This window comes from Homo sapiens, chromosome 3 (assembly GCF_000001405.40).
Source record: "Homo sapiens chromosome 3, GRCh38.p14 Primary Assembly".
NCBI classification, from domain to species: Eukaryota; Metazoa; Chordata; class Mammalia; order Primates; family Hominidae; genus Homo; species Homo sapiens.
In genome coordinates this window covers 193595091-193614303 of record NC_000003.12, presented here as the reverse complement: position 1 = coordinate 193614303, position 19213 = coordinate 193595091, and the positions used below count along the sequence as shown (strand labels likewise).

At 41.0% G+C, this 19213-nt stretch overlaps 1 protein-coding gene across 18 annotated transcripts in view; it reads right to left on the bottom strand.

Annotated features, from left to right (window-relative positions):
* The window catches only part of OPA1 (OPA1 mitochondrial dynamin like GTPase), a 104604-nt gene that overhangs the window by 83508 nt on the left and 1883 nt on the right, over window positions 1-19213 (bottom strand). For 3 of the 18 annotated variants that reach the window (NM_001354664.2, NM_001354663.2, XM_047448212.1), the window contains exon 2: window positions 10747-10804. The exons of the other annotated variants lie outside the window; for them this stretch is intronic. The gene's annotated coding sequence lies outside the window, so the exon portion shown is untranslated. The remainder of the gene's footprint in view (window positions 1-10746; window positions 10805-19213) is intronic. 18 annotated transcript variants of the gene reach the window in all.

Here is a 19213-nt window from a genome sequence, read left to right as displayed (position 1 = left end):
ATTCACTGTAAGTAAAAGTTGAAAACAAAAATGCATGCAAACTTTTGCTTTCAAAAACAAAATTTCTAGCAGTTTAGAACACCTTCATCTATGTCTCCCGATCCTGACAGCACAGGGGTGGAAATTAAGGAAGTTAATCAATCCCAACTCAAGCACCTGGATCCCCAGAAGAATGAAAGTAGCAAAAAAGCTCGAAAGGGAACAGAATTTAAATGTACACATTGACTGTAGAGCTCCACCCTCTTCTTCTTCCTGAAGAGAATGAAAGGTTACCAACAACCATATCTTAACATACACTCATAGTTGCATACATAGTTGCTTGCTTACTATTAGTTGCTTACTAATAATCAGGGCCAGTCTGATTCTAAGTAGTTAAAAAATATTAATTCCTTTAATTACAAGGGACTGGAAACTTCTTAAGAAGGAGGCAGGGTGTGGTGGCTCACACCTGTAATCCCAGCACTTTGGGAGGCTGAGGTGGGTGAATCACCTGAGGTCAGGAGTTCAAGACCAGCCTGGCCAACATGGTGAAACCCCATCCCTACTAAAAATACAAAAATTAGCTGAGTGTGTTGGTGTGTGCCTGTAATCCCAGCTATTCAGGAGGCTGAGGCAGGAGAATCACTTGAACCCAGGAGGCAGAGGTTGCAGTAAGCTGAGATCACACCACTGCACTCCAGCCTGGGCAACAGAGTGAGACTCCACCTCCAAAAAAAAACAAACAAACAAACAAAAAAAAAACAAAGAAGGAGGAGGAGGAATCAAGGAAGACAGGAGCAATGCTGTGAAGAATGGTATGGGGATATGGGAAAAGCGGTATCTCTTGTGTTCCTATACATACCAGACATTACGCTAGCTGTTTTCACTACAGCATAACTATATAAATGTTAACTCTCAGAAACACCGAGTAAGGTTAAGTATCCTTATTTTACAAATTTTTTTTTTAAGTATTGTTAAAGCAAACTAAATATGGCCTGAGAAGGACTCCATACTTCTATATTTGTGTTCTTGTGGACAAACCATAACCTAGCACAATAGGCAGACAAAATGGAAAACCTGAGTAGTATGCATCTGTAATAATAGCTGAGTGTTGGCCAATCCCAGTGGCCATACTTCAAGCACTAATAGACTGCTAAGTGTTCAAACTGCATTCAATTCTGGAGGCTGCCTGATTTGCAAAGTGTTTATTTTCCTTGCTTAATTAAACTCCATCAAATTTAACTTGTCTGAAGTTTTCTTTTAACAGATCTGGTGTCAGAAGTGGGATTTGAAGAAAAACTCTGGCAACCCCCTGGAACACCAGGTGACCTGGTGAGGTACCCACTGAGGCCGTTGCTCTCACTGGTCTCTTGATTGTAACTGGAGGTCATGGGTGAGTTTTCTCTCAGATTCCGAGCTCCACTAACTTGTGTTTTGAGCTCTCCGAGTTTACTCAAGCAATACTTAGCCTGGACTGGATCCAAGATCAAATTGGATTTGATAATTAACTGGATTGGATTCAGTTAGAGGCCTCAGACCTCTGATAAGTACCTTATTTAATAATGGGATCATCTCAATCCAAGGAGTCTGGGACTCCATCTTCAGGGACTCCAGCTAATTTTACGTATAAAAATTATGGGCCCAGAACATGTGCATTTTCAGTAAAATGGGTTAACCTCACTAAAGAAAACTTAGAATTAAAATGGCCACAATGGAGAAGTTTTAATTTGGATAAAATTGTTTGCAAGGCATATTAGAAAAAGGGGATCAAAGCCCCCACAAATACAGTGGGATGTATTGTCTCATGGATACGCAAAGGCCTCCAAAAGACTAAGTGAATCAAAAAGTGCCTCCTTAAAAGATTCTTTGCAAAAACCAAATGAAAAGCTTAAGCAACAGACCAAGGACATGAAGAAAGAGGACTGTACTTTGACTGATCTAACTCGGACTGTTCCTTCTTTGTCCATCTCTACCTACATACTCTGAGTCCACTAAACTTTTTGTTAAATTACACTTTCACCCTGAAGATGATTTAAAAAAAAAAAAAAAAAAAAAAGGAAGTTAGACAGATGTCTTACAAAGTGAGACCTTATATCAGCCAGGCCTGCCTGCTGTAACTACTTTCACTCCATGGTCTAAAACTGAGCTTAGCCCCATTGTGAAGGACTTCCCTGGTCCAAGGGAAAAGTCTCAAAAATTTACTGAGGAATTTAGAATCCTAATAGGAGCTTACGATCCAGGACTTCATGAATTTACCAATTTATTCATATGATACTGGGGGCTGGTGAAGCTCAGAAATGGATGGCAGCAGCAGAATGGGACAAACCTGAGGAGGACATTTTAAAGGGCCCTCTAAGAGCTCCTCACAAGAAGGACCAAAAATAGCTAGAAAAATCGCTGAAAACCTTTTAACATTCAGTTCCTAAAATTTTTCCACAAAAAATTGGTCCATCATACAATCTTGTAAGCAAAAAAAAAAGAAAAGAAAAGATGAACCAGTTTCAGATTACAGAAGTCGCTTAGAAATATTTGTGAAACATCCTGGGCTCAAAGTACAGCAAGGAGTATTCCCTGCAGGGGCTGAAACAGCATTAACTGCTTTACTTATAAATGGACTCCATCCTGAACTTAGCAGTTTAACTAAAAAACATAAGTTGCAATGGGAAGTTAGAGATGTGACTGAATTGGTGGCCTTAGCTGAACTTTTTTTTTTTTTTTTTTTTTTTTTGAGGTGGAGTCTTGCTCTGTCACCCAGGCTAGAGTGTAGTGGCGCAATCTCGGCTCACTGCAACCTCTGCCTCCCAGGTTCAAGCAATTCTCTTGCCTCAGCCTCCCGAGTAGCTGCGACTACAGGCGTGTGCCACCATGCCCAGCTAATCTGTGTATTTTTAGTAGAGATGGGATTTCACCATCTTAGCCAGGATGGTCTTGATCTCCTGACCTCGTGATCCTCCCACCTTGGCCTTCCAAAGTGCTGGGATTACAGGCGTGAGCCATCGTGCCCAACCTAGCTAAGCATTTTGAGAAGACTCTAGAGCAAAAAAAACCTCAAAAGGCTAATAAGCTTATGCCCCTTCAATTGCAACAGTTACAGGGACCAGGAACCAAAGGGACCATCTCGTTCTCATTTTAAATCACAATCGGGCGGTTCCAAGATGGCCAAATAGGAACAGCTCCAGTCTACAGCTCCCAGCTTGAGCGACGCAGAAAACGGGTGATTTCTGCATTTCCAACTGAGGTACTGGGTTCATCTCACTGGGGATTGTCAGACAGTGGGTGCAGGACAGTGGGTGCAGCGCACCGAGCATGAGCCAAAGCAGGGCGAGGCATCGCCTCACCCAGGAAGCACAAGGGGTCAGGGAATTCCCTTTCCTAGCCAAGGAAAGGGGTGACAGACAGCACCTGGAAAATTGGGTCACTCCCACCCTAATACTGCGCTTTTCCGATGGTCTTAGCAAACAGCACACCAGGAGACTATATCCCGCGCCTGGCTCAGCGGGTCCTATGCCCATGGAGCCTCGCTCATTGCTAGCACAGCAGTCTGAGATCAAACTGCAAGGTGGCAGCGAGGCTGGGGGAGGGGTGCCCGCCATTGCGGAGGCTTGAGCAGGTAAAAAAAGCAGCTGGGAAGCTCGAACTGGGTGGAGCCCACTGCAGCTCAAGGAGGCCTGCCTTCCTCTGTAGACTCCACCTCTGCAGGCAGGGCATAGCCGAACAAAAGGCAGCAGAAACCTCTGCAGACTTAAATGTCCCTGTCTGACAGCTTGGAAGAGAGCAGTGGTTCTCCCAGCACACAGCTTGAGATCTGAGAACAGACAGACTGCCTCCTCAAGTGGGTCCCTGACCCCCGAATAGCCTAACTGGGAGGCACCCCCCAGTAGGGGCAGACTGACACCTCACATGGCCGGGTACCCCTCTGAGACAAAACTTCCAGAGGAACGATCAGGCAGCAACATCTGCTGTTCACCAATATTCGTTGTTCTGCAGCCTCCGCTGCTGATACCCAGGCAAACATGGTCTGGAGTGGACCTCCAGCAAACTCCAATAGACCTGCAGCTGAGGGTCCTGACTGTTAGAAGGAAAACTAACAAACAGAAAGGACATCCACACCAAAAACCCATCTGTACATCACCATCATCAAAGACCAAAGGTAGACAAAACCACAAAGATGGGGAAGAAACAGAGCAAAAATACTGAAAATTCTAAAAATCAGAGCACCTCTCCTCCTCCAAAGGAATGCAGCTCCTCACCAGCAACGGAACAAAGCTGGACAGAGAATGACTTTGACGAGCTGAGAGAAGAAGACTTCAGACAATCAAACTATCCAAGCTAAAGGAGGAAGTTCGAACCCATGGCAAAGAAGTTAAAAACCTTGAAAAAAATTCGACGAACGGCTAACTAGAATAACTAATGCAGAGAAGTCCTTAAAGGACCTGATGGAGCTGAAAACCAAGGCACGAGAACTACGTGACGGATGCACAAGCCTCAGTAGCCGATTCGATCAACTGGAAGAAAGGGTATCAGTGATGGAAGATCAAATCAATGAAATGAAGCGGGAAGAGAAGTTTAGAGAAAAAAGAATAAAAAGAAACGAACAAAGCCTCCAAGAAATATGGGACTATGTGAAAAGACCAAATCTACGTCTGATTGGTGTACCTGAAAGTGACGGGAAGAATGGAACCAAGTTGGAAAACACTCTGCAGGATATTATCCAGGAGAACTTCCCCAATCTAGCAAGGCAGGCCAACATTCAAATTCAGGAAACACAGAGAATGCCACAAAGATACTCCTCGAAAAGAGCAACTCCAAGACACATAATTGTCAGATTCACCAAAGTTGAAATGAAGGAAAAAATGTTAATGGCAGCTAGAGAGAAAGGTCAGGTTACCCACAAAGGGAAGCCCATCAGACCAACAGCTGATCTCTCGGCAGAAACTCTACACGCCAGAAGAGAGTGGAGGCCAATATTCAACATTCTTAAAGAAAAGAATTTTCAACCCAGAATTTCATATCCAGCCAAACTAAGCTTCATAAGTGAAGGAGAAATAAAATCCTTTACAGACAAGCAAATGTTGAGAGAATGACAGGATCAAATTCACACATAACAATATTAACCTTAAATGTAAATGGGCTAAATGCTCCAATTAAAAGACACGGACTGGCAAATTGGATAAAGAGTCAAGACCCATCAGTGTGCTGTATTCAGGAAACCCATCTCACGTGCAGAGTCACACATAGGCTCAAAATAAAGGGATGGAGGAAGATCTACCAAGCAAATGGAAAACAAAAAAAGGCAGGGGTTTCAATCCTAGTCTCTGGTAAAACAGACTTTAAACCAACAAAGATCAAAAGAGACAAAGAAGGCCATTACATAATGGTAAAGGGATCAATTCAACAAGAAGAGCTAACTATCCTAAATATATATGCAACCAATACAGGAGCACCCAGATTCATAAAGCAAGCCCTGAGTGACCTACAAAGAGACTCAGACTCCCACACAACAATAATGGGAGACTTTAACACCCCACTGTCAACATTAGACAGACCAACGAGACAGAAAGTTAACAAGGATATCCAGGAATTCAACTCAGCTCTGCACCAAGCGGACCTAATACACATCTACAGAACTCTCCACCCCAAATCAACAGAACATACGTTCTTCTTAGCACCACACTGCACTTATTCCAAAATTGACCACATAGTTGGAAATAAAGCTCTCCTCAGAAAATGTAAAAGAATACAAATTATAACAAACTGTCTCTCAGACCACAGTGGAATCAAACTAGAACTCAGGATTAAGAAACTCACTCAAAACTGCTCAACTACATGGAAACTGAACAACCTGCTCCTGAATGACTACTGGGTACATAACGAAATGAAGGCAGAAGTAAAGATGTTCTTTGAAACCAATGAGAACAAAGACACAACATACCAGAATCTCTGGGACACATTCAAAGCAGTGTGTAGAGGGAAATTTATAGCACTAAATGCCCACAAGAGAAAGTAGGAAAGATCTAAAATTGACACCCTAACGTCACAATTAAAAGAACTAGAGAAGCAAGAGCAAACACATTCAAAAGCCAGCAGAAGGCAAGAAATAAATAAGACCAGAGCAGAACTGAAGGAGATAGAGACACAAAAAACCCTTCAAAAAATCAATGAATCCAGTAACTGGTTTTTCGAAAAGATCAACAAAATTGATAGACCGCTAGCAAGACTAACAAAGAACAAAAGAGAGCATTCTTATATACCAATAACAGACAAACAGAGAGCCAAATCATGAGTGAACTCTCATTCACAATTGCTTCAAAGAGAATAAAATACCTAGGAATCCAACATACAAGGGATGTGAAAGACCTCTTCAAGGAGAACTACAAACCACTGCTCAAGGAAATAAAAGAGGATACAAACAAATGGAAGAACATTCCATGCTCATGGGTAGGAAGAATCAATATCGTGAAAATGGCCATACTGCCCAGGGTAATTTATAGATTCAATGCCATCCCCATCAAGCTACCAAAGACTTTCTTCACAGAATTGGAAAAAACTACTTTAAAGTTCATATGGAACCAAAAAAGAGCCTGCATTGCCAAGTCAATCCTAAGCCAAAGAACAAAGCTGGAGGCATCACGCTACCTGACTTCAAACTATACAAGGCTACAGTCACCAAAACAGCATGGTACTGGTACCAAAACAGAGATATAGGCCAATGGAACAGAACAGAGCCCTCAGAAATAACGCCGCATATCTACAACTATCTGATCTTTGACAAACCTGACAAAAACAAGAAACGGGGAAACGATTCCCTATTTAATAAATGGTGCTGGGAAAACTGGCTAGCCATATGTAGAAAGCTGAAACTGGATCCCTTCCTTACACCTTATACAAAAATTAATTCAAGATAGATTAAAGACTTAATTTAGACCTAAAACCATAAAAATCCTAGAAGAAAACCTAGGCAATACCATTCAGGACATAGGCATGGCCAAGGACTTCATGTCTAAAACACCAAAAGCAATGGCAACAAAAGCCAAAATTGACAAATGGGATCTCATTAAAGTAAAGAGCTTCTGCACAGCAAAAGAAACTACCATCAGAGTGAACAGGCAACCTACAGAATGGGAGAAAATTTCTGAAACTTCTCATCTGACAAAGGGCTAATATCCAGAATCTACAAAGAACTCAAACAAACTTACAAGAGAAAAACAAACAACCCCATCAACAAGTGGGTGAAGGATATGAACAGACACTTCTCAAAAGAAGACATTTATGCAGCCAAAAGACACATGAAAAAATGCTCATCATCACTGGCCATCAGAGAAATGCAAATCAAAACCACAATGAGATACCAACTCACACCAGTTAGAATGGCAATCATTAAAAAGTCAGGAAACAACAGGTGCTGGAGAGGATGTGGAGAAATAGGAACACTTTTACACTGTTGGTGGGACTGTAAACTAGTTCAACCATTGTGGAAGTCAGTGTGGCAATTCCTCAGGGATCTAGAACTAGAAATACCGTTTGACCCAGCCATCCCATTACTGGGTATATACCCAAAGGATTATAAATCATGCTGCTATAAAGACACATGCACACGTATGTTTATTGCAGCACTATTCACAATAGCAAAGACTTGGAACCAACACAAATGTCCAACAATGATAGACTGGATTAAGAAAATGTGGCATATATACACCATGGAATACTATGGAGCCATAAAAAATGATGAGTTAATGTCCTTTGTAGGGACATGGATGAAGCTGGAAACCATCATTCTCAGCAAACTATCACAAGGACAAAAAACCAAACACCGCATGTTCTCACTCGTAGGTGGGAACTGAACAGTGAGAACACTTGGACACAGGAAGGGGAACATCACACACTGGGGCCTGTTGTGGGGTTGGGGGAGGGGGGAGGGATAGCATTAGGAGATATACCTAATGTAAATGATGAGTTAATGGGTGCAGCACACCAACATGGCACATGTATACATATGTAACAAACCTGCACGTTGTGCACATGTACCCTAAAACTTAAAGTATAATAAAAAAAAATTTTTTTAAGTCACACTTTGGAAAATATTTTTAAAATTATATATTAAAAAAATCAAATCAAGAGGTCCCAGAACAAGAATTTCTTTACCCCAAGATGTCTGCCTGTATTGCAAACAACCAGGGCACTGGAAAAGGGATTGTCGGCTGATAAACCTCCCTCTAGGCCAAACTGTTTCACCACTAGAGGGAGCCCAAGAGACCTTAGTCCTCCTGACAATATTCAACTTAAAGGAGGCTCTAAGGGATTCTCCAGTGGATTGCTCCCCGTAATACCTTTAAAGGAACATGGGGAAACAGAGGTTAAAATAAATAGGGAGTTGTGTATAGTCCTTATGGATACCAGGGCTACTCTATCTACCATAAACCCCACCTTAATAAGCCAACAAATCCCTTAGAGTAAAAAGGTCATTTCTGTGACAGGGGTTTCAAATCAAGTTCCAGAGGTTCCCATATCTGAACCCATCCAATTAACTCTGAGCCCCCTTTCAGAAAAACACAGTTTTTTACTACGTGATACTGTTCCAGTAAACTTGGTAGGGCAAGATTTACTTTCAAAGCTAAAAGGGCACCTAAAATTTTCCTCAGAAACAGAAATAATCTTAAGAGTTTTCCTGATTCTCCTGAACTAGAATTGTTATGCTGTCTACAGGCAGAAATTGATAAGATCGAAACTCAAGCCTGTAATACCCCTGATCTTTCGAAAACACCTAATGTTTATGGGCCTCTTCCCAACTGATATAGGAAGAATTAAAAGTGTAGAACCTATAAAAGTACTAACAGATCATTCTAAACCTTTGCCTAATTACCACAATATCCACTAAAACCTGAAGCAATTTAAGGGCTCTCACCAATTGTAGAAGATTTAATTAAACAAGGACTCATAATTCCATGCACCAGCCCCTGTAACACTCCAATCCTACCAGTTAAAAAACAAAATGGATGAGACTGGAGATTTGTTCCAGATTTACAGGCAATTAATAAAATTGTAATACCAAGATTTCCTGTAGTCCCAAATCCTAATACTTTATAACCTAATGTACCCACTGATTCCAAGTTGTCCACAGTAATAGATCTTGGCTCAGCCTTCTCTAGCATTCCATAAAGAAAGTCAATACTTGTTTGCCTTTACTTGGAAAAATCAGCAATACACCTGGAGTGTAATGCCACAAGGGTTTACTGAAGCCCCTTCATATTTTCCCCAGGCACTGCATCAGGAGTTAATGACACTACAGTTTCCTCAAAATTCTACTCTCATTCAGTATGTAGATAACTTATTGTTATGCTCTCCTATTAAGGAGTGCCCGGAAATTGACTCAGTTTACCTTTTACAGCAACTTGCATATAAAGGTCACAGGGCTTCAATGGAAAAACTTCAATTTTTTCTTTTCTTTTTTCTTTTTTTTTTTTTTTGAGATGGAGTTTCACTCTTGTTGCCCAGGCTGGAGTGCAATGGTGTGATACTGGCTCACCACAACCTCTGCCTCCTGGGTTCAAGCGATTCTCCTGCCTCAGCCTCCCGAGTAGCTGGGATTACAGGCATGCACCACCACGCCTGGCTAATTTTGTATTTTTAGTAGAGACAGGGTTTCTCCATGTTGGTCAGGCTGTCCTTGAACTCCCGACCTCAGGTGATCCGCCTGCCTCAGCCTCCCAAAGTGCTGGGATTACAGGCGTTAGCCACCATGCCTGGCCAAAACTTCAATTTTCAAAAGAAAAAGTCCACTATTTGGGACATGACTTGGCTGCTGAAGGGATTTCCCTCTTACCTGAGAGGATAAAACCTATTTAAAGTTTTCCTCGACCTGCAACCAAAAGACAAAAGGCTTTCTTAGGCTTGCAGGATATTGCAGATCCTGGGTTCCAAATTTTTCCTTAATAGCTTCACCACTGTATGAGCTCACTAAAAATGCTGTACCAGAGCCTTTACCTTGGGAAGACAGTCATGAGCAGGCTTTTAGCCAAATGAAGTTGGCCTTACAACAGCCCCCAGCTTTAGGACTTCCAAATTACACTAAACCTTTCACTTTGTTTGTTCATGAATGTAATAATCAGGAACACGGTGCTAAACATAGGACCACTGCATACTATAGCCTGCAATTAGGCCCAGTCTCTAAGGCATATCCTAATTGTTTAAAAGCAGTAGCAGCAGCCAAGCTGGTAGAAGCTTCATCAGATCTGGTTTTAGGAAATGAACTTAATTTGCAAGTCCCACACGCTGTGGAAAGTCTATTAAATTCCAATCAAACCCAGCATTTTTCAGTGAGTAGACTAACATCTTATGAATTACTTCTCCTATCTCCTTCTTATCTTCATCTAAAAGGCTGTAATCTACTTAATGCTGCTACTCTGTTATCTCTGCCTGATGATGGTGAAGACCACAACGGTGTGAGTGTAGTATCAGAAATAGTGGCCCCTCGTGTTGCTATACAAGATACTCCACTGGATAATCCTGAATTAACACTTTTTGTTGATGGGTCCTATGCCAAAAACTCAGAAAAAAAAATATCAGTCAGGATATGCTGTTACCACCCAAAATGAGTTAATAGAGAAGCGAACTCTTCAAGTCAAGTCAGCCCAACCTGCAGAACTTTCTGCCCTTACCTGAACATGTCACACAGCTAAGGACAAGTCAGTAAATATTTACGGATAGTAGACATGCTTTTGGAGTAGTACGTGATTTTGGCATGATATGGAAACTACGAAGGTTTCTCACCTCTAGTGGGATCCCCATCAAAAATGGACTCCAAACAGATGAGCTCCTTTCTGCTATCCTGTTACAAATGCAGATTGCTGTTATTAAGACTGAAGCTCATACTTGTAGAAATGAACCCAAATATCAGTGAAATGCTTTAGCAGATTTTTATGCTCAATCAGCTAGTGCTGGAACCATCAAGATACGCAATCTGAATGAACTCCATAAGATTAATCCAAGCCAATTTCCTTACGATGACCTATTTAATAAACAGTGCAACGCATCTGATTTGCAAAAACAAAACTGGTATCTAAAAGGATGTAAATTTAACGTGAAGCAAAGACTCACAAAGGGCCCGGACGGCCGCCTGGTCCTTCCTGAATCTTTGAAGCTTCCATTATTGAAAGCTCTCCACAGCTCATCATGGAACAGACAAAGTGATCCAAATTATGAAAAAATACTGGTGGGGTGACTATTCTGACATTACTAAAATGGCTTATAATCAATGTTTGACTTGTCAAACTCATAATCCCAGAAAAACTAGAGGCAGTATATTTCCACCACCTGATGGACCATTTGAACATTTACAGATGGACTTCATTCAGTTACCACCCTCAATGGGGTATCAGTATGTTCTTGTAATAGTTTGCATGTTTTCTGGTTGGATAAAGGCCTTCCCATGTAGGAAAGCTGATGCTGTGACCATAGCTAAGAAATTATTAGAAAATGTTTTTCCTTTATGGGGGATCCCTCTAAAAGTCTCCAGTGATAGAGGAACTCATTTTACTGAGCAAGTTATAAAGCAGTTAAATAAGGTGTTACTGACACAGTTGCATTACCATTGTCCTTATTACCCTCAGTCTTCAGGAAAGCTTGAAAGAACAAATGGCATTTGAAAACTGAAACTGTCCAAGTTAACTGAATCAATTGAGTTGCCTTGGCCAAAGGTACTACCTTTTGGTTTTAATGGCAATCAGATTCAATCCTGTTGGAAAACATAAATTGACCCCTTATGAAATAGTCACTGGGAGGCCCATGTCCCTAATAATAGCATCTCATGCTTCTCCTGCTCTCTTAAACTCTGATATGACTAAATACTGCAAGGCTTTAATGTATTACGCCAAAGTATACTTCCACCAGGTAAAGGAAGCATTTCAAGATCCACCAACTGAGGACAATCAAACCCTCCATGGTCTGGAATTTGGAGACTGGGCCTTCCGGAAATGACATCAGAAGAAGATCACTCTTGAACCTCGTTGGATGGGACCATACCAAGTCCTTCTTACCACCCACAGTGCAGAGAAGCTTCAGGGCTTTGAACCATGGGTCCACATCTCACAATTCAAAAGGGCCCCCTCAGACTCCTGGTACTATATACCCGTTGGAGACTTTAAGGTAAAGCTGACCAGGGAAATCTCTTCCCAGAAGCAGACAGCATCCTGGTTACAGACAGCTTTCCCTAGATCACAGATCAAGACTTCTCTACCACCATGAAAGCCTTATGTGTTTTTCTGTTTTCCTTATTTTTTTCCCTAATCCTTTCCTTTTCCTTACATGAAAATCCATGGGACCATAATCAGTGGATGGCTTCAGCTCAAGCTTATGCTCTAGCACAAAACCAGGGTAACTGTTGGGTTTGTGGGCTAATGCCAAAAAATCAGGAAATGATTCCAAGGGTGCCAGTGCCCCTCCACGTTTCCCAATGAGTCACCCTGAAACCCCAAGGGAAGAATGGAAAGCTATTCTTGATACTCTAAACATCACTAGTACTTGCTTTCCTACACTCACTAAAAACAACACTCTTTTTCAACTGATAAAGTCGATCACACCAAATATAAAAAACAAATCCAAATGATGCCTACAAAACGTATATTGTGCTTGCAGGCATCACATACTCAAGATTTGGGAATTACTTATGTTAGTACAAGTGATTGCTTGTATATCCAGTAGGGTCTCTTTTTACTAGATGTGGTTATACACCCTTACAACACACTACAAAGGGGCCATAGAAAAGTAAATTTCCCACTGGATGTTATTCAGGAGCTACAGATTCATGGTCGAACAAACCTGAATGATCCCTGCTCAAATACAACTAGGTGGCCCCCTTTTCCAACCCCTGAGGGTCTCTATTGGGTCTGTGGAGAATCTGCATATTCTGTTCTGCCTCCTTGGTTGGTTTGGTTCTTGTTATCTGGCCTGGCCTGCTCCTGCCTTTCGAATTGCTTCCCCTGAAAATTCTCATGATAGCCCTTATACTTGGAGGCCAAAATGATCAATAACTGAAATTAGCACTAGCCTCGAAATAGACGAGGATAAGCTAGTTTCTACCGGGGAAAGATTCCACTGGGGTTCCTGGGGGCTCACTCTTGGTGGTAGTGAAGTACCATTTGTACGGAATTTAAAACTAATTTGTATATTGGGAAAATTCTTGGATTTGGTAGCCAATCAGACCTCCCAGGGTTTCAGATGGGTAGAAGCTACTCTCAGAAAGGCACATGACAACATACATATTCAACGAAAACACTTAATGGAAGATCATGCAGTCTTAGATCTTCTTTTTGCTCAAGCTGGAGGCCTATGTTTGGTGTTAAACAAAACTGAATTTTGTACTAATCCCTCCCCTGATTCTGTTACTACAAAAAGCTTAATTTAAAAGGTGGCTGATACTGCTGTTTCCTTAGACACTGCCACCAAGTACAATAAAGAAATCTCTCAAGAGAAAGGAACCCACGATATGTTTATAGGAGCAACTAACAGTTGGTTTGCAGGCATCCTAAGTGGTGAATGGCAAGCTTGGGTTTTCCAAGGGTTTCTAATCTTTATATCTCTTCTAGCAGGTTTTCAAGTTATTATGACTTGTATTAACAAGGTAACAATGAAAACGAGCACCTCTTTAAGTCAAGCTACTTTACAGCGAACTATGATCCTTAATCACTATCATACTCCAACTGAAGACTCTGACCAATCAGACCCCAATACTGCTGAACTGCTTATATTGTCTGAACCTTAACTTGGCTGATTTGGTTCAGTTCATTTCATAAGAACTTTTATTAAGGAGTACACCTTAGCATTTTGACGGTGTCCTCTTAACAGTCATAATAATAGTCCCCTTGGTGCACTGTATACTCTCAAGTCTTAAATGTTTTGTATGCAGCTGTACATTGACAGTTGAATGGTCTTACTCCAACTGGATCAGCAAGAACATAAAGAATCATTTAGCTGGTACAAAGTTGCAACTTGTGAATTCCCTATTAACACCAAAGAAGATGTGTGAGACTCCATACTGAAACTAAAGACGACTTGTGAGTTCCACACTGAGACCAAATAAGTCTTTATGATGGTGACAGAGAGTGGTGTCAACGCCTAAAGTTTTGGTCAATCTCTCTAAATTGAGGGGCTGACCAAAAGGGGGAATTGTTAAAGCGAACTAAATATGGCCCGAAGAGGACTCCGTACTTTTATATTTGAGTCCTTGTGGACGAACTGTAACCTAGCTCAAATAGGCAGACAAAATCGAAAACCTAACTTAGTAGTATGCATCTGTAATAACAGCTGAGTGTTGGCCAATCCCAGCGGCCATACTTCAACCACTCATAGACTGCTGAGTGTTCAAACTGCGTTCAAATAAGGCAAACGCCGAGCTGTAACCAATCTCACTGTTTCTATGTCTCAATTCTGATTCCTGTAGGTCACTTTACCTTTTCTGTCTATAAATTTGTTCTGACCACGAGGCACCCCTGGAGTCTCTCTGAATCTGCGGTGATTCTGGAGACTGCCCAATTTGTGGATCATTTTTTTTCTTTGCTCAATTAAACTCCATCAAATTTAACTTGTCTGAAGTTTTCTTTTAATTCTATGTTTTGCCCAAGGTAGAATGATTAGCAAATGGTGGAAAAGAGATTGAAACTAGGGTCAGCCAGACAGTAAATCTCAAATTATTTCCACAAGCGACACTTGTGGGCAAGAGTGTGGGAAGCAGCAGATGCAGAAATACATGTGGCCCCAGATAAGAAGCTAAGGTGACATTTTGGACTCCCTGCCACTTCCTCCAGAGCCCCAGGATGATACTGCACCTTGCTGTGGTTCAAAACTCCATAGGATGAAGTGTGATGGAGGTTTAATAAATAAAACAAAAAAAGAAACCAAAAAGAAAACCAAAAAAGTACAAAAAAAAAAAAGAATAAAAAAGAGAAAGAAGGGTGCAGAGCTGAGACAATGAAAGGGCAAGAGACCCAAGGAGCTGGCATAGAAGGCTCATAGGAGGAGTAAAACTGGACTGAATATCCAATTGAAGAGTCACTGAATATAAGGCTGAGGCTTAACTTTTTTTCGTAGGCAATGGGGAACTACAGAGTTCCTGAGTAGAATAAGACTAATGAAACATTAATTTAAAGAAAATAGTAAAGATAATGTTAGGTCAAAGTAAATCAGAAGGGGAACAAAAAGGTGATCTTATTTCAGTTACCCAGATGTAAGGGGAAGAGCCTAAAGTTAGGTGGCAGCAATGAGAAAGGAAAGGGAAAGGCAGATACTCGCCAGACTAGGCACAGGAGGAAGGACAAAGGAAAGTCACCAATCACCACAAGGTTTTATCCAGCGTGACCCATGTTATCACTTACAGAGAGGGATATCAACCAGAGAAAGAGCTCATGGTTCCACAACGTTTAGCTCACCCTTCTTTCAACTACATCCTTACATCCATTTAGTCTATTGAGTCAGAAGAACTCTGGTTCCAATCACATTTCCACTGCTTACTAGCTGTGCAGTTAGGGCAAATTATGAATTTTCTAAAGCCTTAGTTTCTTAATCGGTTAAAATGGCATAATAGCTGTATTAGAGAGTCGCCATCAATAATCAATAATCTGATATTTCTTTCTTCTCCTTACCTATTCACATCCTCCTTATCTATTCACCCACTTACCACCTTAGATTATGCGGTTCATCGTTTCAATAACTCTTTTGCAAACATTCTAAACTCCCTCGTCCTCTGACTTTTCTGTTTGACTTGTCCAACAAAATACAAACCCTACATGAGCCTTATTGTTTTTCTCTCTGCCTGTACCCAGGGAAATAAAGCACTACTGGAGAAAATCACACCCAACTGGAAGCACATCTCAACAGGGCCCTCAAAACTACTTAACAATCCTACTTCATCTCTCTTAGCAATTCATTCTTCCACTCTCTGCTAGAAGAGCTCTTCTAATCTCCCCTTATCTCTCTTGACCTCCCCAACTCTCAGTAGATGACCTTGCCCTCTACTTCACAGAGAATGGAAGCTATTAGAATGACACATGTTCAACTTCCTCATACAAAAACTGTTCACCTACTGTATCTCCACCAATCCTCTTCTTCCTCATGTAAAATTAAGCGATCTTTCTCCCATTAAAGGTGAATCACTGTTTGGAATTCTCTTTCCTCCTGCCCTTTGAGGAATCTAAGTCAAATCTCTCCTCCCATATTTATTTTTTATTTTTGAGACAGGGTATTTATTTATTTTTGAGACGAAGTCTTGCTCTGTTGCCCAACGTGGAGTGCAATGGCATTATCAGGGCTCACTGCAGCCCCACGTATCTGGGCTCAAGTGTGATCCTCCTGCCTCAGCTTCATAAATAGCTGGGACTAGAGGTGTGTGCCAGCATGCCCAGTTAATTTTTTTTGAATTTTAGTAGAGACAAGGTCTTGCTATGTTGCCTAGGCTGGTCTCAAACTCCTGAGCTCAAGCGACCCTCCCTTTCAAAGTGTTGGGATTACAGGTGTAAGCCACTGCACCTGGCTATGTCTCATCTTAAAAGGGGGAAAAAAAGTACCCCATTTCCCTGCTCTAGCTATTTTATTAAAATAAAAGCCAAACCATCCTGATTTCCATTTCTTTTTTTTTTTTTTTTTTTGAAACGGAGTCTTGCTCTGTCACCCAGGTTGGAGTGCAGTGGCTCGATCTCTGCTCACTGCAACCTCCGCCTCTGGGGCTCAAGCGATTCTCCTGCCTCAGCCTCCTGAGTAGCTGGGATTACAGGGACCTGCCACCACACCTGGCTACTTTTTGTATTTTTAGTAGAGACAGGGTTTCACCATGTTGGCCAGGCTGGTCTCGAACTCCTAACCTCAGGTGATCCGCCCACCTCGGCCTCCCAAAGTGCTGGGATTACAGGAGTGAGCCACTGTGCCCAGCCTGATTTCCGTTTCTATCACTTCAGCGAAACAGCTCTTACGGAGGGCACCATAGGCTTCCAATGGCCATTTTGCTCAATTCTGGTTTTATCTGACCTCTCAGCAATACCTGACAATGTTGACACCTCCTCATTGTTGAAAATTCCTCTCCCCTGGGCAGTCTCTAGCTTTACCTCTATCTCACTGGCCACTCATTTTCAGTATCCTCAACTACCCTTGGAAATGTTGGGAACTCATCAAGGCTTAGACCTAACCTACTTCTCACTCTCCCTAGGCAATCTCATCTACACCCATTTCCTCCATTACCATCCACATACCCATGTTTCTCAAAATTATGTCTAATACAGTTAAGTTCCCCCTTTTGGTCAGCCCCTCAATTTAGAGAGATTAACCAAAACTTTAGGCGTTGACACCACTCTCTGTCACCATCATAAAGACTTATTTGATCTCAGTGTGGAACTCACAAGTCGTCTTTAGTTTCAGTACGGAGTCTCACACGTCTTCTTTGGTGTTAATAGGGAATTCACAAGCCGCAGCCTGTACCAGTTAAATGATTCTTTATGTTCTTGCTGATCCACTTGGAGCGAGACCATTCAACTGTCAACGTACAGCTGCATACAAAACATTTAAGACTTGAGAGTATACAGAGCGCCAAGGGGACTATTATTGCGACTATTAAGAGGATACCATCAAAATGCTAAGGCGTACTCCTTGTTGTTATTCAAAAACAGCAATCAAAGAACAATAGAAAGTGTACAGAATTAAACATGTCTTTAAGAGTTTTCTTAAAAGTTCATGGAAATGAAAAGTTGCAATGCTCAGTGCTAGGTGTCCTCTAAAAGGAAAAATAAAAATAAAAAAATTAAGTTGCCGCCAAATGCAGTGGCGCACGCCTGTAATCCTGGCATTTTGGGAGGCCAAGGTGAGAGGATTACCTGAGCCCAGGAGTTCGAGGCCAGCCTGGACAACACGCCAAGATCCTGTGTGAAAGAAAAGAAAAGAAAAGAAAAGAAAAGAACAGAAAAGAAAAGAAAAGAAAAGAAAATTAAGAAAAGAAAAGAAAAGAAAAGAAAAGGAAAGGAAAGGAAAGGAAAGGAAAGGAAAAGAAAAGAAAAGTTGCGATGGCCAATATTAAAAAAATCAACAGTAAAACCATGAAATGAATTAAGGAAATTCCCCAGGACATAAAATGCAAAAAAAAAAAAAAAAAAAAGGTGAAAAACATAAGAGGAAAGTTAAGTGATGCAGAGCTGTGGTAATGTGGTATCCAAAGGGAGTGGGAGGATGGGGGCGGAATGCATCCCGTGGGATGAACAAAAGGATCTACTGGGATTCAGGAAGAAAGTACTGAAGCTTCTAGATGCAGTATGTTTTGTATCTTATCCTTTAAGATTATGTTAGGGTTGACTTACAATGTAAATAATTAGTACAGATACATATATAATTTAAAAATAAAAAAGTGTGCATATATACATAGGGTATATGTATGCTTTTCCTTTTAACAGACGACGAGTACAAATCTTACTTTGGAAATCACGGACATAACATATCAATCTAAGAGGACCACTATCCTCCTAAGAGATGTCTAGAAAGAAAAAGGACAGGAAAAATGAAAGGAAGATAATAAAAAATAAGAGAGAAAAACGTCTCAGAAATGAAGAAAGATAAAGGGAAAGGCCCACTGAGTGTGCCAAGTCAAATGAGTAGCAAAAGAAAACAAAACCAAACCCACACCTGGTCCAAGCCTTGAGAAATTTAGGATAAAGGATAAAGTCAAGACCCTAACAGATTCCATGAAGGGAAAAACAAGATAATCATGAAGATGAAAAAATCAGATTGTCATAAGAATTCTCAGCAGCAATAAACAATTACATTAGAAGAAAATGCAGCAATGCCTTTACAGTTCTAAAGGAAAAGAATTTTGAATATAGACTTCAATATTCAGTCAAAACTAAAAATCAAGTATGATGCAAAATAGGTTTCCCCCAGAAATCTACTCTCTTGTTCATTGACTATCACTTTTAATCAATATATCATTTCCTAATATGTAATTCTTTTAAAAATAATTTTACACAATTATTTATTGCACCCAAATGTTAGTATTGATCTTTTCACATGTCCATGAGCATGTATTTACATATGTATGCCCAAAGAAATGCTTATGCTCTCATCTGTTAGGGAGCAGGAATTTAACTGTATTCTTTCACAACATGCAAAGGAACTATAGCAAAAGAAAAACTGCAGAGCTTGGGGCTTCTGGCTTCCCACATCTCTACTTCTTTAGGTAGCTAAACTGTGCCATCACCAGGAGACATTTTTA